General features: G+C 35.0%; 1 protein-coding gene across 2 annotated transcripts in view; it reads right to left on the bottom strand.

The window, feature by feature from the left end:
• The window catches only part of CFH (complement factor H), a 95462-nt gene that overhangs the window by 68127 nt on the left and 5680 nt on the right, over positions 1-21655 (bottom strand). For both annotated transcript variants that reach the window (NM_000186.4, NM_001014975.3), the window contains exons 2-5: positions 6215-6400; positions 5416-5521; positions 3313-3389; positions 1711-1902 (exon numbers count right to left, since the gene is read on the bottom strand). In NM_000186.4, coding sequence (NP_000177.2) covers positions 1711-1902; positions 3313-3389; positions 5416-5521; positions 6215-6400 — 561 coding nt within the window. The remainder of the gene's footprint in view (positions 1-1710; positions 1903-3312; positions 3390-5415; positions 5522-6214; positions 6401-21655) is intronic.

Below are 21655 nucleotides of genomic sequence, written 5' to 3'. Positions count from 1 at the left end.
CAGTAACATTCATCAACTGTATAAATAAAATTGATCATAAATATAGTTTTATTGTGATGTTTTCACTGAATGACCTGCAAAAAATAACACATCTTCTAGTTATTGATAAGACAGGAATTATCAACAGGACTTTTTGTCAAAGACATTGATTTAACTCATTGTCATTACATCTCTGAAAAGTAACTGACCTGTTTTTGTGTCATCACTATTTAGCCAAGATTTCCTCAGAAAAAAAAAAAATGGCCATCATCTTTTATACCTTTTATACCCACTTCTCTCAAACATTTTTACCTGGGATTGTGCCAATCATAAGTAGTTTCCCAAACTCTGTTCTCCCACTTTCTAATCCATTTTCCTTGTGTATAGCTTAATGACCTCTCAGGTAGACACATCGTAACTCCACTTGAAATCCTTCATTGATTCCCAAATCAATCTGAATAAAAGACGCGTTCTTCAGCATGGTGCATGCAGCACCTCAGCACTATGTATTGGCCCACCTTCTATTTATCACTGACTCGTTCCCTACTTGCATCCTAGACTAAGGTGCCTAGGAACAATGGACAAGAATCAGTGGTGCTTCATGCTCCTTAAAGCCTCACTGCCCTTCCACTTCCCTTTCCCTGAACTCTGGTATGCTTTTGCTCTCATTTTCATCTACAAAATCTCGTTTTTTTTCTTTAAGACTTAATCGTAGGCATCAGCCATTCCAGGAAGTTTTCACTAACCACAGGAATCTAGTTGTAAGGATGTAAATTCCATCCATGTACTTCTAAAGTACATAATATTTGCTATGCTGAATAAAAATATTAGATTTAACATAAAGAACTATTGTTGTTACAAAGTGTTCTTAAGAAGAGAAATTCTTTTATCTGTATCTAAGATATAACAGACTTTAATAGTAAAAATAATTTAGATATTTTAGATAATATTAAAATATAAATATGCCAGAAACTTCTGCCAAACAATTATTGGTAAAATGAACTTGAACTATGGTACTACTAAACAAATCAACCACGATGTTTATCACAGAAGCCAAAATCTTTGATTGGTCATGATGCACAGGTTGGCAGTATTATGACTAAAAAAATCCTGGCTTACAGTTTACTATAAAACTTTTTTTAAGAGGCAACAATTTATTTAGTGGATTCTGTTCAATTCAGCAACATTTATAGTAAACTTGCAGTACAAATATAAAATAGGTCTGCTTCCTAAAAGTGTTATTCAAAAACGAATGTCATTCTAATGTATCTCTGGAAATACATAATGAATCTTTGGCTTTCAAAATAAAAACAAATGTCTATTCCAGAGGTCTTACAGCTTGCAGCAGAAATACTTAGCATTCTCTTTCAACCTAAGAGACAACTACAATGGAGTTATGGTTAAAGCATGGACTCTGGTGTCAGATAACCTACATTTAAATCCTAACTTGACTCTTTATGCCATGATAATCCAGGGCATGTGATTTAACTTCTTTGCACCAGTCTCTTCCATTATAAAATGAAAGTGATGAGTAAGTAAATCATGGAGTTTTTTGAAAGTTAAAATGAAATGATGCATGCAAAGAACTTAGCTCAATTACAGGCAGATAGTAAGTGCTCAATAAACATTAGCTATTGTTAATATTGCTGATATTCCTTAGAATGAACGATGTTTTAAATGTATATTTACATTTAAAAAGCTAAAAATACTAAAACAGTAAGTGTATCTTACCCACACACTTTGGTTTCTCTTTACTCCAAAAACCATCGTCTGAACAATGCATTTCTTCATCTCCTTCAATCTTGTAGCCTGAGTTACATACAAACCGTACTGCTTGTCCAAAATGGTATTCCCGATCTGGTTCCATTGCACTACTGACAATTTTTCCATTCTCTGGTGCTGTCACTGGTAAACACTTCACAACTGAAGAAAATACATGTAATGTTTTCTAATGGAATTTTAAAAGTTTATTGTGAAAAATATGTGTATGTATAAAATCATCCTCAGGATAAGATTGGAGGAAATTACTTAAATTATTTTTAGAAGCATTTGATATACCTGTTTGCTAGAGATACTTTCCTCTAAGAAACAAGCAAATGGAATGTTTATTCCTGATTCTTTTCTATGGGAGTGGACAATGAAAATTACTACTTTCAATGCTAGCTTGTATTTTTGTAGTAACAAACTAGTATTTTTAAATAATTAAGAAATATAAAGCTTGAGATAATTAAATACATTTTCATTTATGCCCTAGAATAATATAACACTGTGTTCCTAAAAGATGTAAAAGCAAACTTTATGACATTAACTTCAATAGAGAAATCATCGTTAATTTTCCATCCTCTTCGACCTAAGTGTTTAAAATAATTTGAGTAGTTCTTTTGATTCTACTTAATATTTTCCAATTTCTCTAAAGTTGTGGTCAAACTTTATTGTACTATAGAATGACTCAGGATGCTTGTTAAAATAAAAATTTTAGGGCTATCTTCCTGCATGCTCACCCCAAAGATACTGATTCAGTAGGTCATTTTTTAGTAACCAAAGATTTTAGTTTTTAACAAGCATCCCAGGTGATTTCAATGTAGATGTTCCCTAGACCATTAATCTTCTTCCTCCAATTTTCATAGATGAAAAAATCTTCCATTATTTTCTGTAGTTGACAGTTTTTGAATGATTATCACGTTTCTTCTGTATCTCTCTCCACTTGCCACTCACTGTGGAATTAGGAAATACTACTCTGGTTGATTTCTTTTATTTCCATAATGACTAGAGATTTGGATTATTAGCTCAAAACATGAAAACAGAATCTACATTTTCTCATTTTCACTGTTTGCTTTACAGACCAGTGAGAAATAACAGAGCTCGCCCTTAGTTTATTCCTCTTTTCAGTAAAGGTAAGTCCACAGGCAACCTCCCTTAGTGGGAGGTCTCAATCACGTTCTCCACTTCAGCTGTTACCATAGATCCCTGCATTTGGGTGGTTACTGGGTGAGTTCTTCTTCATTAATAAAGGCAAAATTCTGGTCTTTATTTAGCTAATGATGCTTATATGCGTTTCTAGTCATTAGAATCCAAAAGGAAATAAAAATCAGTTTTAGATTCCTTAATGTCTAATACTTCAATTATTATATCAGATCAGGCTGCATTCGTTTTTGGCTTTTGAAACACCAAGAATGTAGTAATAAAAAGACTAGATTCCCACTCTACATTGTATGAGAAAAAAAAACATTAAATAAAAATATTTAATAGAGACTTTAAGATATTTTAATGTAAGACTTTTTTTAAATCTTAGATATTTATTTCAATATACTTGTAAATACATTTTATGTCTACCTTCACATATAGGAATATCATTGGTCCATCCATCTGTGTCACATTCACGGTAATTAATCTCACCTAGCAATTGATACCTGAAAACCAAAAAATAACAGAACGTTGACATAATGTGTGTTTACATGCAGTTTTAAACTCGATGCCATTCTGAGTGTCCAGAAACTCCATATTAAGGAAAATGAACAGCATATGCATTTTCTTGTTTCTTGTTTCTTGTTTGTTTTTCCTTCCTCCTTCTCCTCCTCCTTCACTCTGTCTTAGATTTCTTAACGTTCTCTAGAACATTAATCTTCTTCCTCTAATTTTCATAGATGAAAAATCTCTTAACCTCTCTCTCCCTTTATCTTTCTCTCCTTCTTGGTGCATGGACTGAAAATAATCATAATCCTTGGTTCACGACAAAATCATTATTGTTTCATACAAAGTATTCTTATTTTTCATTGAATTATCTAATTAGCTAAATTCAATAATATAGTAAGCTCCATGAACTATCACCAAAACAAAAGCTAAAAATACCATAGTAACCAACGACTAACCTTATGTTTCCCTCTCCTCCAGTCTTAGACCGTATTTCTGTCCTCCATGATTCTGATATTTTCTGAACACCTTAGGGTTTCTACATAATAAAGATAGTGCCAGCCAAAAGTTGTTAGTGTGTGATTTACTTTCAGCACTTGCCTCCATCTCTCCATCTCTATCGTAGAGATTTTTTCCTGAGAATACCCAGTGAGTCAAATCTGCTCATCCAAGCCATCTAATGTTGAACTTAAGTAATTTTAGTAACCCATCAAGCCTGCCCTTTGAATCTAAAAAATGCTCTACTTGAATATGAGTTCCCTGGGACATGTGCAAAATGTGCAATCATTGCTAGAGGCTTCAGATCTATACATTTTTATCTCCTTAGCCAAGTCAAGTGCTGAACTTAAAGAGAGGACACAAGCCTGTGATAAAAGAAATATTTCAGAGGTGAGGAAGGTAGCAAATTAAAAAATTCAGCCCCAGGATATTATAACCTATTTGGTTATGTGTGATAAGATCAGCAGTAATGATTGAAGGGCTAAAAATGTATTTGAAAAACCTCCCTCAGGTAGTGACTAAGGAGAGAATAAATTCATAAGAAATTATACTTATTTGGTATCTACTATATCTCAAGGTCTCTTCTAAGGGCTGCAGATGTGTGTCTTATTTATTTTTCCTGCCAATCCATGATGCACATAAAATGTGTCTGTTTTGTAGGAGAGGAAATGGTAGTGAAGAGATATATTTTTAAATACCCATAAATGTTAAGTGGTAGAGTTTTGAAAGGCAGGCTTACTCCAGTGACTAAGCTTTAAACTATTATATTTTATTGCTTCAAATTAAGGAAAAAATGGGGAAATAATAATGTTATTCCATTTGTAATATTTGGTTACATTTATATTTATGAAGTATACGATTATAGTGATCTAATCCTGGTTTTCCCATACATAAATTTTTCTCCAAAATAATTTTTCATCTAGCAGAGAATAAGGGGGATAAAATAACACTGAGGATATACAGTGATGATTTTGGCAATGAAAACCCAGTAGTTGGTTAGAAGGAACAGAGTCAATGATTCTGAAAGAGTAGTATTTTTAATCCATGTGGTAAGAATAATTTGCAGACCTGGGACATTAAGTAACCTTAGTTGTAAGTAAAACTTATAAGCAGGTGAAAGTCTTGCTTTCCTTAAATTTTATAAAACCTGTCAAAACAGTTACCATACAATATAAATTGGTTACAATTCCTATTGTTCCTGACACATTGAACTCCCATGATACTCTGCACAAAATAGAATGTCGTGAAGACTTGTTGGGTGAATACTTATATATGTGCATACTGTTTTCCCACTCTCCCATAATTATACTCTATCAGAGAAGTTATACTTCATTTAAATTTTTCAATGTTAAGGAGATAATATGGTATCCAGATTTAATTATTTCCATCATAGTTAAACTTTCAGGTACTTGTGTATTACTTTTTTAAATGCTCATAGAAAAATATAATAACCTTAAAAATATATAAAGTAGTAGAGTTCCTATTTACTATCTTAATTATAAACCTCTTTTCGTATGGACTACATACCCCTCATTACATGTATACACAGCTTTTACACCATATTCAAACACATTTCCTCCTGTAAGGGTAAAAGTACCAAAAGGAGTATCTCCAGGATGTCCACAGGGCCTTTCTAAAACGAAAAAAAAAGTTATGAATTAGTATGTAATAGCAAGGAATATATTTTATGTAGGAGTGGGGGAACAAGTATATTTGATATTATATAAGAAGACAGATTGAATGTAAGGAAAATTAAACATAGCAAAGCCATTATTTCATAATTGAACTTAAACTATATGCTTGCTTTTTTAATTTTGGAGGATGACCACCCCTTTTTGAAAATGATGATGTATTGGCTGGGCACGGTGGCTCACGCCTGTAATCCCAGCACTTTGGGAGGCTGAGGTGGGTGGATCACGAGGCCAGGAGTTCGAGACCAGCCTGCCCAGCATTGGTGAAACCCCATCTCTACTAAAAATACAAAAATTAGCCGGGCGTGGTGGCACGTGCCTATAGTCCCAGCTACTCGGGAAGTTGAGGCAGGAGAATTGCTTGAACCAGGGAGGCAGAGGTTGCAGTGAGCCGAAATAGCGCCACTGCACTCCAGCCAGGCGATAGAGGGAGACTCCATCTCAAAATTGCGCCACTGCACTGCAGCCTAGGTGACAGAGCCAGACTCCATCTCAAAACAAAAAAAAAAGATTATGTATTATTTTGTATTTGACTGGCAATAGTGATATAATTCAGGCATAATTGCTACAATATTAAATCTTAAGTATTTTTACACCTAGTTTTCATAAATTTCACAAATGTATTAAGTACTTACTCTGACATTTCCTTAATGGATTAAGAGCAACCCATTCTCCCTTCCTGCATACCATTATTACATTTCCAAGAGATCTATATCCAGGGCGGCATTTATAGATAGCCTGGGTGCCTTCTGGATATGTTTGGTCAGACCAGGAACCTGTCAGAATTTCTGTATTTCTTCTTGGAGGAAGTTCATTGCAATCTACAAACAATAAAAACAAAATAAGTGCATAAAGTGTCTATTTAAATGTACAGTATATTTAGGTAATTGTTGCTTTTAAAAATGCCTAGACAGTCACAGGTCTATCTAAATTTCTCTCTCTCTCTCTCTCTCTCCTAACCCCATATCTATGGAGTAAACATACATTTCATGCATGTAGTGTAACTATACATTTCACCTTATAAAATTTGTATCTACATAATTTTATAAGAATGTTCACTGTGGAAAAACACCTAAAAAACTTTGCAAAGCAATAGATATATTTTGTTATATTACTCTTAATTGCTGGAGAGCATTCTACTATTCTTCCATTAATTTGGGAAATATTTATTGAGCACTATTCTAAGTTATAAAGAAAAAACAATGAAGAAACAAACTATCTGTTCTCAAAGCATTTCCATTCTATTAGGGAAGCCAGTTATTAAGTAATCAAAGAGATGTATAATATGCATTACAGGTAGAAAAATTATATTTACAAAAATTAGCATGATAAGTTAATACAGAATTATACAGGCACTCCAAATAAGATAGAATAGGATGGAAAAGAACAATGTTTCTACTCCAAATTGGAACAACAACAAATTGTGTGTGCATGTGTATGTTCAAAGGTAAGTTGTGGGAGCAAAGAGGATTAAATGAACAAAACACAAGTAGGAAGGACCTGTTTCAAGTAAATATAGGGTCTCTGGCCATTTTTTACCTGGTTATGTTTGTCAGCTCTGGATATGGATTGAAGATCAGGCCTCTATTTAGTCTGAATGGAAGAATGGTAATGAGGTAAGAAAGAACCAAACATAAGGAGGCTATATCTAGCATGAAGAATTCTGAAACTTTGCCAAATCAGGTTGCTTTGCTAGAGTCTAGGTAGCTTCATACGGGAAGACTGACTTTCCCGTTGTCTCATAGAAAAAAAGTCTCAATAAGAAAATGGATCTGACTCAAATACACAACTAGTATTCTCATCAAAACATGCCATATTTGAAAGTCACTCTGGATGATATTTAAGAGCAGATGTCAAAACAGCAGAAAAGCTGTATACATATATATATTATTTATATATAATAAAAGCTCTTATATATATGTTCACTTTTCTGCTGTTTCATTTATATATGAGCATTTAAGATTATATATATATAAGAACAGAGTCAAAACAGCAGAAAAGCAAACATATATATAAATGGCTTTTATTATATATATATCATATGCTCACATACATAATATATATGTGTTGGCTTCTTCTATCTCAAAAGTCTAATATATGTACACACATATATAGTATATATATATACACATATTTATATTTATGTATATATATGTGTATATGTATATACTCTGTGTGTGTGTGTGTGTGTGTGTGTGTGTGTGTGTGTGTATTAGTCTTTTGAGATAGAAGAAACCAACCAGATTCTTGACTTTAAAAACCCAAGAGGGTTTAATCTTTGAGACTAGAAACCAGAAATGGGACTGACTCAAACTAAAAGTGTTACCCAGGTCCCTCTGAGTTAAATTTTTGAGTGGCTCAAGAAAGAGCAAACAATCTTGTTGATGAGAGTAAGTTATATAAACTTTTGTCATTACATGTTTTTGTTTAAAAATACGATTTTGAATAAAAATTAAAAGATACACAAAAAAGCAAAAACAACTGTGAACAAAAAGAGAAAATAAATATTCAGTAGAACTAGACACTCAGATTCAGATGTTAGAATTAGTGTTAGGTCTTTATAACAGCTATTTTAGGAACATTAAAGGAACTATAGAAAATATAGAAATGAAAATTTAAAAAAGATATTCAAAATAAAATTGACTCATAAATCATGTGCTATCTTAAAATTGGATCAAAAATCAGAAATAACAACTTGTCAGATGGTTTTAAGAATCAAATGGACACAGCACAATACAAACTTATTAAACTTAGAGGAAGTTTAATGTAAAAATAACCAAAAGGAAATATAGAAAGACAAAAGTGTATAAACAACAACAAACAAAACAGAGTATAAAAAAATGTGTGGTGTAGAGTCAAGTTATAAAACATGTTTAATTGGAATTCTAACAATAGAGAAGAAAATGAACATAGGCAATATTTGAAGAAACAATAGCTCAAAGGTTTCCAAAATTGATGAAAGAAATCAGCTCACAAAATCAAAATTTCTAAAAACCCCCAAAATGCTGTATACCAAGAAAACCTATACTGATACTCTGCTGAAAACCAAAGATAAAGGCAAAATCTTAAAAGCAGATTGTATTAGTCCATTTTTGCACAGCTATGAAGAAATACTCAAGACTGGGTAATTTATAAAGAAAAGAGATATAATTGACTCACAATTCCACATGGTTGGGGAGGCCTCAGGAAAGTTACAGTCATGGTGGAAGGGGAAGGAAAGACCTCTTCACATGATGGCAAGAGAGAAGTGCAAACAGGGGAAATGCCAGATGCTTATAAAACCATCAAACCTCATGAGAACTCATTCACTATCACGAGAATAGCATAGGAGAAACTGCCCCATGATCCAAGCACGTCCCACTGGGTCCTTCCCTCAACACACAGGGATTATGGTGATTACAATTTAAGATGAGATTTGGGTAGGGACACAGAGCCTAACCATATTATTCTGCCCCTTGCCTTTCCCAAATCTCATGTCCTCACATTTCAAAACATAATCATGCCTTCCCAACAGTCCCCCCAAGTCTTAACTCACTACAGCATTAACCCTAAAGTCCATGTCCAAAGTCTCATCTGAGACAAGGCAAGTCCCTTCCACATATGAGCTTGTAAAATCAAAAGAAAATTAGTCATTTTCAAGATACAATGGGAATACAGGCATTGGGTAAATGCTCCCATCCCAAATGGGATGAATTGGCTAAAACAAAGGGACCAAAGGCTCCATGAAAGTCAGAAATCCAATAGGGAAGTCATTAAAACTCAAAGTTCCAAAACAGTCCCCTTTGATTCCATGTCTCACATTCAGGTCACACTGATGCAAGAGGTGAGCTCCCACAGCCTTGGGCAGACCTGCCCCAATGGTTTTGCAAGGTATGGCCCCCTGCCCTGGCTACTTTCACTGCTGGCATTGAGTCTCTGTGGCTTTTCCAGGCACAAGGTGCAACCTGTCAGTGAATCTACCATTCTGGGATCTGGAGGATCTGTGGCCCTCTTCTCACAGCTCCATTAGGTAGTGCCCCACTGGGACCTCTGTGTGGGGGCTCCAATCCTACATTTCCCTTGCTCATTGCCCTAGTAGAGGTTCTCCATGAGGGTTCCTCCCTTGCAGCACACCTCTGCCTGGACATCTAAGCACTTATATACATTTTCTGAATCTAGGTGGAGGTTTTGTATTCTGTGTACCCACAGGACCAACACCATGTGGAAGCTGCCAAGGCTTAGGGCTTTCATTATCTGAAGCAATGGCCCAAGCTGTATGTTGGCCCCTTTTAGACATGGCTGCAGCTGGTGCAGCTAGGATGCAAGCCACCAACTCCTGAGACTGCATACAGCAGTGGGGCCCAGGCCTGCAAAACCATTTTTCCTTCCGAGGCAACCAGGCCTGTGATGGGAGAGGCTGCCTTAAAGATCACTAACATTCCCTGGAGACATTTTTCCCTTGTCATGGTGATTAACATTTGGCTCCTCATTCCTTACACAGATTTCTCCAGTGGGCTTGCATTTTTCCCAAGAAAATTCGGGTTTTATTTCTATTGCATCATCAGGCTGCAAATTTTCCAAACTTTTATGCTCTGCTTCCCTTTTAAACATAAGTTCCAATTTCAGACCAACTTTCTCAAAGTTCAAAGTTCCACAGATCTCTAGGGAAGGGGCAAAATGTTGCCAATCTCTTTGCTAAAACACAGTTAGAGTGATCTTTGATCCAGCTCCCAATAAGTTCCTTGTCCCCATCTGAGACCACCTCAGCCTGGACTTCATATTCCAGATCACTATCAGCATTTTGGTCTAAAGCATTCAACAAGTCTCTAGGAAGTTCCAAGCTTTCCCACATCTTCCTGTCTTCTTTTGAGACCTCCAAACTGTTCCAACCTCTGCCCATTACCCAGTTCCAAAGTCACTTCCACATTTTGAGGTATCTTTATAATAGTGCCCTACTACCTTGGTACCAATTTACTGTATTAGTCCATTTTGCACTGCTATAAAGAATTACCTGAGACTGGGTAGTTCATAAAAAAAGAAGTTTAAACTGATTCATACTTTCACATGGTTGGGGAGGCTTCAGGAAACTTACAATCATAGTGGAAGGTGAAGAAGAAGAGAGGATCTTCTTCATATGGTAGCAGGAGAGAGAAGTGCAAGTTGGGGAAATGCCAGATGCTTAAACCATTAAATCTCATAAGAACTCACTCACTATCATGAGAACAGCATGGGACAAACAACCCCCATGATCCAGTCACCTCCCACTGAGTTCCTCCCTTGACATGTGATGATTATGGAGATTATAATTTAAGATGAGATTTGGGTGGGGACACAGAGCCAAACCATATCACAGACAGAGGAAACATTTTTTTTCCAGGAGAATAGTAAAAATAACAGCCAAGTCTGTGGAAGTAAATACTGAAGTCTGAATATATATGTCTTAGCATTACTAAAGTGCTGAAAATTAAAAGTCAGCAGAGAACTCTATAAATGGTGAAAATATACTTCAAAAATGAAAGCAAATAGAAACACATTCTTAAGCAAACAAAAGCAGAAAGAATTCAACAAGAGCAGACTCAACTATAGAAAAATACTAAAAAAGTTCTCTGGGCTGAAGGAAACTGATCTAAAATATAAGCAAAGAAGTACAAAAAGGAATAAGCAGAACTGAAGAAAATAAATAGAAGAGTAAATAAAAAAGCTATTGAAACATGATAAACCCTATGCTATGTATATTTTACTCAAATAAAAAAGAGCCTTGACTGTTTAAATCAATAGACCATGTTTAATAGTGTTTTTAATAAATTCAAGAGTATAATATGAAACAATAGTAGCAAAAGTGTCAGGAAAAGGTAAAGAAAATAAAAGTGTTGTGATGTTTTCCCCATAGTCTTGATGTGGTAAAAATATTAATTTAGAATAAATTGTAATAATTTAAGCATGTTTTGTTGTAATTGCTAAGTTAGCCACTAAACCAATAATATTGAGATACATAAAATAACTAGAATACATGATGTAATGAGATAGTCAAGACTATTTGATTAAAATAAGAGAAGGCAGGAAAAGAAGAGAGAAAAATTGAGGCAAAAGTAAGTAGCAATATGCTAGACTTAAACTGAACTGTATCAGTAATTACATTAAATATAAATGGATTCATCACCATACTAAACATACAAAGATTGTCTGACTGGATAAAAGCATAAAAGAAAACTCAAATATATGATGATTACTTTTAATAAAATTGTACATATAAATTGAGAGTAAATGATAAAAACCAATATGCTAGAAAAGTATCAACCAAAGTAAGAATGATATTAATGTATTAATATCAAGCAAATGATAATTTTAGTTAGAAAGTATTATTAGATAAAAAGAGAGTCATTTCATATTAATAAAAAGGCTACTTTAACAGAAAGATGTAATAATTGCAAATGTGTCTGAACAATGTTTGCTGGAGCTGGCTCATACTGACTCATAGGAGCCAATTATACACATCTTTTGCTAATACAATGTCTCCTGATGACACGTTGGTAACTTGAAATTGACCATATTGTGAGAATTTACACCATGAAACTCAGCAAATTTTACAAATCATGGTTGTTCCCTTTCCTTTTAAAAAATAGTTGGTTGTTTTACATTTACCAGCATGCCTCTTTGCATAAAACTATTAATACATCTTCAAAATATAACAGAAATAAAAGAAGTAAGCAATCCACCATCATAGTTTGAGATTTAAGCACACTGTTTCCAATATCCAATAGAAAAGAAATAGAAAAATAAGGATATACAAGATATAAGCAACATTATTAACCAAATTAAGTTTTTTATATTAATAAAACACTGTCTTCAACAATTGCAAGATGCATATTCATTCCAAGCAAATCTCTACCAATCTCAAAAAATTAAAGCCACTCTAAGTATACTCCCTGACCACTAGACATTGCTAACAGAAAATAAGTGGAAAATTCACAAAATTTTTGAAGTTAAGCAACCCTTTTTTTTTTTTTTTTTTTTTGAGACGGAGTCTCGCTCTGTCCCCCATGCTGGAGTGCCCAATCTCAGCTCACCACAACCTCCACTCCTGGGTTCACGCCATTCTCCTGCCTCAGCCATCTGAGTAGCTGGAACTACAGGTGCCCGCCACCATGCCCGGCTATTTTTTGGGTTTTTTTTTCTTGTATTTTTAGTAGAAACGGTGTTTCACCGTGTTAGCCAGGATGGTCTCAATCTCCTGACCTCGGCCTCCCAAAAGTGATCCGCCCACCTCGGCCTCCCAAAGTGCTGAGATTACAGGCGTGAGCCACCGCACTTGGCAAGCAACACTTATAAATAACTCATGAGTTAAAGAAAAATATAATATAAATGAGAATATGATTTGAAATAAACAATAATGGAAATATATGTTAAAATTTGTGGGCTGATGCTGAAGCACTGATTAGAGAGAAAAAAATATAACTCGAATGAATTAGAAATAAAAAACTGTTGGAAATCAATTATCCAAATTTCTAATTCAAGAAACTAGTAAAACATTAAATGAAATCTAAAGAAAATAGAAAACAGCAAATAATAGTGATGATCACATAAATCACCCTCCAAGTTCAAGGTGACAACTAAAGTATTTAAACTAAGGATACCCAATTCTGTTGTTACCGGGCATGGATGTGACCTATACTGGCATCAACTTTCATCCTTCATCAGCAAAATTATCCTGGTGGGGGTTAAGATATTAGAAGCTGAGTTTCAGTGCCTGAAATCTCCATCAAGCTGTTCTTGTGCATACTGCCTTTATCCTTATTCTGTATTTTCCTTCAAGCCAAGTAACCTTGGCAATGGGTAAGTCTATCGTACTGTGTAAACTTGGACTACCTCAAATTGAAACTCACTCTGGCAGGCTTGCAATTAAAATCCACTGGGGCCGGGTGCGGTGGCTCACGCCTATATTCCCAGCACTTTGGGAGGCTGAGATGGGTGGATCACCTGAGGTCAGGAGTTCGAGACTAGCCCGACAAACATGTCGAAACCCCGTCTCTACTAAAAATACAAAATTAGCCAACTGTTGTGGCACATGCCTGTAATCCCAGCTACGTGGGGGCGTGAGGCAGGAGAATCTCTTGAACCTGAGAGGCGGAGATTGCAGTAACCCAAGATCACGCCATTGCACTCCAGCCTGGGCAACAAGAGCAAAGCTCTGTCTCAAAAAAATATAATAATAATAAATAAAAAATAAAACCCACTGGAAATGAAATGGGATAAATTTGAATCCTTACTTTATTTGCACAGACACATGCACACAAATGCCAGGTAGACTAAAGAGTTAGGTTTAAACAAATTTAAAATAAATACATATATGTTTCATTCTTTTATAATTTTTTAATTATCTGCTATATATGATGATATGTCATTTTAACTTACTATTATCTTAGTGCCATCTATCTATAATTATATTTATTTTATAAATATATTTATTAAAAAGTATGAATAAATATCAAAAAAGGAAGGCTTAATGCATAAAGCAATTTGCAAACAGAACATATACACATTAAAACTTTGTTAATTAAAAATTATATTTGTGAAAAAATCATATATACAAAATGTGGAGAAAATTTAACTGAAAAATTATTCTTAACACAAACACTTCTTGCAGTAACAAAAGCACTAAACACTATCTAAAGAAAAATGTTAGAGTAGGATAGATCATTTACTTAAGAACAGGCATTAACGTGACCATTACCAATAATTAAAAGAGATAAAAATTAAAAGAAAATTATTTTTTGACCAATTTTAACACAAAAATGTAAAGGAGATGATAATCAATTTTGCTGGAAAATTAGGTAATATAAATATTATTATTAAATAAAACTGAAATATAAATGACTATTACTTCACTAAAAAGCAACTTAGCAATAAAGAATCTTAAAAGTACTCATACGTAAGTTGACAAATAATTTCAATTTTTTAAAAGTAACAAATAATAATTAAAGATTTTGTGAAATATTTAGGTACAGAGTGTTTATTCCAGCATTTTTAATAATGGATATAATTAGAATATTTATGAAAATTGTCAAATTATGCTACACCCATCTGAATTAAAAATTGTGGTTTGGGTAATATTTAATTATGTGCATAAAATTTATAATAGTAAGAAGGAAAGTCAGTATATATTTTCTGTTATAGTGAGATACATTAGGTCAGGGGCCAGAAAACTAACCTGTGGGCCAAATCCAATCGCTGCTTGTTTTGTAAATAAAATTTTAGTAGAACACAGCTATGCTCATATAGTTATATATTGTCTATGACTCCTTTTATGTTACAATAGAAGAGCTGAGTAGCGAGACATTATGGCTCACGAAGTCTAAAATATTTATTGTCTGGCTATTTCACAAAAAATTTGAGTGCCTTGGGATTCATTATTTCAGATTAATCTTATCACTTAGGACACCTTCACAATAAAACCAGGTGGCCAGCCATGGTGGCTCACACCTGTAATCCCAACATTTTGGGAGGCTGAGGTGGGAGAATCCCCTTGAGCCCAGGAGTCTGAGACCACCCTGGGCAATATAGCAAGATCCCATCTCTACAAAAAATTAAAGAAACAAATTAGTTACCCATGGTGGCACACACTTGTTGTCCCAGCTATGTGAGAGGCTGGGACAGGAGGGTCTCTTGAGCCCAGGAGTTTAAGGATGCAGTGAGCTATGATCATGTCACCGCACTCCAGCCGAGAGACAGGGTGAGACCCTGTCACAAAAGGGGAAAAAAACAGGAAAACATATGTTTTGAAATAAATACTTTCATAGAGGCATTTAGAAAGCTGACGAGACAGTAAAGAATTACCATAACATATCTTGGTATAATCAGAACCCAGAAAGGAAAACAGGCAGCCAATTTTTTTCTGCACTGTGGGCATTCACCATTTGGGGAAGACACAAGCTTGCTTTTTGATAGCCTTATTAGGCTAAAGCAACAAAATTCAAAGTTGGAAACCTAAATGAATTCACCCACAGGATAAGGGAGAACTGGAAGTAAACCACACTCTTCTTACAGGAACCCAGCTTTGAATTGCTTAGAGCACCAAGGAATTTTAAAGCACAAATTTGGCTTAAGGTAGTCTCACACTGAAAGTTCTTCTAGCCACCCAGAAAAGATAAGTTGTAACTTTAATATGAGGAAGATTTTTTTCTTAAGCACCAAATTATTATTACAAATGTCAAAGACATTATACGGGAGAAAAAGCACCTAGTTACCATAAACTTCATAAGGAACAAAATAGATATTTGATATTGGAATAAATATATACAGACTATAATCAACAATACTAATTCTGTTGTTTAAATGTAAGAGAAAAGTTTGACTAATGATATCTGAGGAAAGAAATTATAACAAAGTAGTAGCAGATTTTAAAAAGAACCAAATATAATTTCTAAAAATGAAAAAACCCATTTTAATCATCAATGGACAGCTTAATAGCAGATAACACAGTTGTAAAAAGAATTCGTGGACAGGAGGGCAGGTCAAAAGAAATAATACAGGATGCAACATGGAGACACACATGTGTGGAAAATACACAAGATGAGCTAAGAGTCAATGAGGATAGAAAAGCCAGAGCAATGTTGGAAGAGAATTTTAAAAAATGAATGGAACATACCAATTAATATATCCAAGAATTAAAAAATTCCAAGCAGTAAAAAAACACACCTATATGCATCATAAGGAATATGCAGAAAACCAAAGAGAAAATATCTTAACCTTGTTAGAGAAAAATATTAATTTAAAAGCAGTAATGGTTAGATTTACAAAGACTTCTCAATAGCAATAGCAGACGCCACCAGGTATTAATCACTTCCATTTTCAGGAAGAAATAACTATCTATATAGAATTCTATATACAGAAATAATTTTTTGAGAATAAAGTTTTGATTCATAAAATTTATTTTATTTTATTTTTTGACAAGATCTCTATTGCCCAGGCTGGAGTGCAGTGGTGTGATTTTAGCTCGCTGCGACCCTGACCCCCTGGGCTCAAGTGGTCCCCTGCCTCAGCCCCCCAAGTAGCTGTGACTACAGTCACAAACTACCTCTCTCAGCTAATTTTTGTATTTTTTGTAGAGACGAGGTTTTGCCGTTTTGCCCAGGCTGGTCTCAAACTCCTGGGCTCAAGCAATCCACTCACCTTAGCCTCCCAAAATGCTGGGATTGCAGGAGTGAGCCACCGTGCCCGGGCTGATTAATAAAATTTGAGAGAATTTGCCACTATAAATACACATTAAGGAGAGAAAAAAGATATATTTCAGAAAACTGAAACTGATCCTAAATATAAGGTCTTAGGATGAAAGAAGAAATGAAAAACAAAGAAAATGGTAAATGTTCAAGTAAATATAAATGAATACTGACTATAAAATAATAAAAATATTACCTTACATGGTTTTAAATACAAACATGTATGTGTATACACCCATATACATAAAACACATGACAATAGTAGGTAAACTGTGAGAAGGATTAATAAAATTAATGTCTTTTAAGTTCTTCACAGTGTCCAGAAAAACAGAAAGGTATTAATGAGCTGTGACAGTTTTCTTAATAAGTCATCTTGCTTAAGTCAGCATTCCCAGTTATTGAGTCAAACTAATCTAAATGTTGGTGAGAAAATATGTTGCCAGATACACTCCCAATCAGTTGACTTTAAACAAGCTGATCATTCTAGGTAATCTAGATAGGCCAGATCAAATCATTTGAAAGGTCTGAAACATAGGGCTGAGGCTCCTCTGAAAAAGAGAGGGAATTCTGTGGAAAGCAGCTTCCTTTCCTGTGAGTTCCATCCTGTCTGTAATCTTCCTTTTCTGACTACCTGCCCTGTGGATTTCAGACTTGCTTATCTCATGCTCACAATTCCTTGAGGCAATTTATTTAAAAAACAAAACAAAACAAAACAAACAAAACAAAACCTCTTTTTAAGTAGGTAGATAGGAGATTGGTATGTCAATCAATTAATTGACTGATAGATAGGTAATCTTCTACTTCTACTTAAGCTTCCCGCATTGAATCCTGAGTGATAAATTATTATTAGACTTTAGTAAGTTAAGAAGGCATATGCTATGCTCTGAATACATGCAACCTCCCCACAACCCCCAATTTATATGTTTAAACCTAATTACCAATGTGATAGTATTAGGAGGTGGGGACACTGGGAAGTGATTAGGTCGTGAAGGTGGAGCTGTCATGATTTGGGATGTGTGCCTTTATAGAAGAGGCACCACAGAGCTGCCTTGTCCCTTTCATCATTGGAGGACACAGCCAAAAGGCACTGTCTATGAACCAGAGAGCAGACCTCACCAAACACTGAATCTGCTGGTACTATCTTGCTGTTAGACTTTCTAGCATTCAGAAGTGTAAGAAATACATTCCTGTTGTTTATAAGCTAGGCAGTTAATAATATTTTGTTGTAGCAGCCCAAAGAAAAAAGTTTTAGAAGTGCCCATTAACATGGTGGAACAAATCCATATGAAAACATTTTGCAATATTTCATAAGAAAGAAAACACCATATAAAATTATATTTTACAAAATAATGTGAAAGTTTTTATGGGCACTAATTTTCCCTTGACCTTTTTGCAAATTTGTATTAGTGAACTCATATAATATGTGATTCCACATTGCACTATTTCGATGTTTATAATTTAAGTAAACATATTCTACTCCACTAGATGGTGCTAATACTCTATCATAACAACACAATCCCCGGCCCCTTCCGCACAAAAGGAAAACTGATTAATTACAAGCTGATATGTTTGTTTTTCACTTTCAAAATTTAGATCCATTTGATGATGTTCAGGTTATTGGAAAAAATAAATAAGTAAAGTAATCCATTAACACAAAAAAAGTTTAGCCCGCTCACTTCCTAGTGAGAAGTAAATGCTTTCCCTTCTGGTTATTATTATATTTCCAGGTGATACGTTTGTGCCCCTAATTCTTGATTTCCAAATATAGTTCATTGCTTTTAACAACCAGATGTAGAAAACAAGGATACATCTCTTCCACAAAATCTTCCTACCAACTTCTCACAATATTTACTCTGTGAATATGTTTACTATATATAAAGAATTATCATATTGATTACCTTTTCTCTTCAAATAGTACTTAAAATTCTGGTGCTTTTTCCATCAGTGTTAAATGGCATCTTTTGATTCTGCTTGTAAGAAAAAGATATGACCGCCCCTGTTCTATTTTCCCTTGCTCCTACTACCATCTTCAAAATCTTAGTTCAGATCATCATCTGTCACTTTGGTCATGAAACTTGCCTGCTAACTAGCCTCCAGTCCTCTACTCTCCTGTTACTTCAGTCTATTCACAGAGTGACAAGTGATTCTTGCAAATCTGGTCATGTCATTCCTGTGATTAAAATTCTTCTATGACTTCACTTTTTACTTATCCAGCATTGCTAACTCCTTTCCTTGGTTTGGGAACCCCTTATCTGGCTCTTGCCACTTTCTCGGATCTCATCATGTTAAATCTCCCATGTATTTACTGTGCAAAGTCACGCTGATTTATTTGTTTATATTTTGTTGAGCATTTCAAACTTATTTTTTCCTTAGATCCTTTACACGGGTTATTTCCTCCTCTTAGAATAATTTTACGACAGATTTCTGATGACTGGCTTTGTCTCATCTTTCAGGCCTCTACTCAAATGTTCTGTCCTCAAAGTGATCCACTCATTCTAGTCCCCAAGACCAAGCCCACCTAATGTCTCTACATACTACCATCCCCATCTCTATTTTCTCTTAGGCCCTACTTTACCTCCTTCACAAAATTTTTCACAATGCTATAACTATTTTTGTTCATTAGGTTTTCTATCTATCTCCCCACATCAAAATGTAAGCTCCCCACAATTGAAGAACAATGTTTTTCATAGTTCGTGGAAGAATTTTCATTAATGTCTAGGTCTTCTCACTTCAGATACACTTTCCTGTCTGCTTTTGTTCTAACCATTATTGTATTGAGTATTATTGAGATAGGAGATGGGACTTGGACACTGGACCAAATTGAGGATTATCCAAAACAGGTCTGAGTGGAAGCCCCTCCCTGTAAGACACACAGACCAGTGTGCTATGACAGTTTACCATTACCATGGCAACACCCAGAAGTTACAGGCCCTTTCCACAGCAATGACCCAACAACCGGAAGTTACCATCCTCCTCCTGGCAATTTCAGCATTAACTACCTCTTAATTTCCATATAATTAAAAGTGCATATAAATATGAGTGCAGAACTGCCTCTGAGCTGCTACTGTGGGCACACTGCCTATGGGTAGCCCTGCTTAGCAAGGAGAGGTGCCTCTGAGGCTGCTATACACTGCCACTTCAACAAAAATTGCTGTTTAACACCACAGGCTCACCCTTGAATTCTTTACTGGACAAAACCAAGAACCTTCCCAGGCTAAGACCCAATTTGGGGGCTTGCTGTCCTACATCATTATCAACTCATGCCATAGCAAAAGTATTTAAGGTAATGATTCACTGCACTGAGTTCTAATAATAATTAGGTATATCTTGTGACATAACTTTTATTTGCCTGAATTGACTAACAATCGAATGTTCAAGCTCAGTTGAACCACCTTCAAGTAGACAACAAACGGTTATTTTGGCCCAAGTAGTCAAACTCTCAGCATGTATGTACAACGGGCTTATTAAATAGGATGCATACAAATTGAAAGGCACAGAAACATTTTTTTGAGATGTGATTTATCTTAAAACTAAAAGAAATAGCCATCTCATTTTTCTCATTCTAGATTAATGAGTAGACTAAGCCATCATATCTAAGTATTTGAGTTTAAACAATGAATACTTCATCTTACGTTTACAAGTCATTTAATTGCCAGTTAATTTTGTTTACAAAACACTACATTGGTGAAGCTTTAATTCATTTGGCTTTATTTTACAATTTAAAATTAGTTTTAGTCTGGATGCAGTGGGTCATGCTTATAATCCCAGCACTTTGACATGCCAAGTCAAGAGGATCAATAGACCCCAGGAGTTCAAGACCAGCCTGGGCAACGTGGTGAAACCCTGTCTCTACAAAAAATTTTAAAAATTACCTGAGCAGGCCGGGCGCGGTGGCTCATGCCTGTAATCCCAGCACTTTGGGAGGCCAAGGCCGGCAGATCACCAGATCACGAGGTCAGGAGATCCAGACCATCCTGACTAACACTAACACGGTGAAACTCCGTCTCTACTACAAATACAAAAAAATAGCCGGGCTTGGTGGTGGGTGCCTGTAGTCCCAGCTACTCGGGAGGCTGAGGCAGGAGAATGGCGTGAACCCGGGAGGCGGAGCTTGCAGTGAGCCGAGATAGCGACACTGCACTCCAGCCTGGGCGACAGAGCAAGACTCCATCTCAAAAAAAAAAAAAAAAAAAAAATTACCTGAGCAAGGTGGCTGTAATCCCTGCTACTTGGGATGCTTAGGTGGGAGGACTGCTTGAGCCCAGGAGGTCGAGGCTGCAGTGAGCCATGATTGCACCAGTACGCTGCAGCCTGGGTGACAAAGTGATTCCCTGTCTCAAAAAAGTAAGAATAATACTAAACAAAATCAAGTTTTTTTTTAGCCCATGAATTAAGAGTGTGAATACGTTTAACTACTGGTAAAGAGTAGGAATGTTTTTACTATAATTTGAGGAAAATAGTTATATAATTTTGGTCAAAGCTAAAAATCAATATTACTTAATATTTTAATAATCTTAATTTACCTAATTTTTTCACTTTCAAATTTTAAGGGGGCATTATTGACATACAAACACCAAGCTAATTACTTATTATTGACATACAAACATAGAACTAATTACTTATTTTCAATGTCAATATATCTTTTAACTGTTAGTTGAAAAGTGTTTTTATTCAAATGAAATAAATCATGATAAAATTATATATTTGGGAAATCCTTAATCAAATTTGTGCTAGATTGTTTTGGTAGACTAAAGTTGGTCTCTTTGTTCAATTATTCTATTTTTCTAAAATTATTTTGTGCATAAAAAACAGTAGATATTATTTTTTAAATAGCCTACTTCTAAACTTAGTAGGTATCAGAATATATTATAAAGCAAAGTT

This window comes from Homo sapiens, chromosome 1 (genome assembly GCF_000001405.40).
Source record: "Homo sapiens chromosome 1, GRCh38.p14 Primary Assembly".
In the NCBI taxonomy this organism is placed as follows: domain Eukaryota; kingdom Metazoa; phylum Chordata; class Mammalia; order Primates; family Hominidae; genus Homo; species Homo sapiens.
Note: the sequence above shows the minus strand (reverse complement) of the source record. Positions and strands in the feature narration are given on the sequence as shown.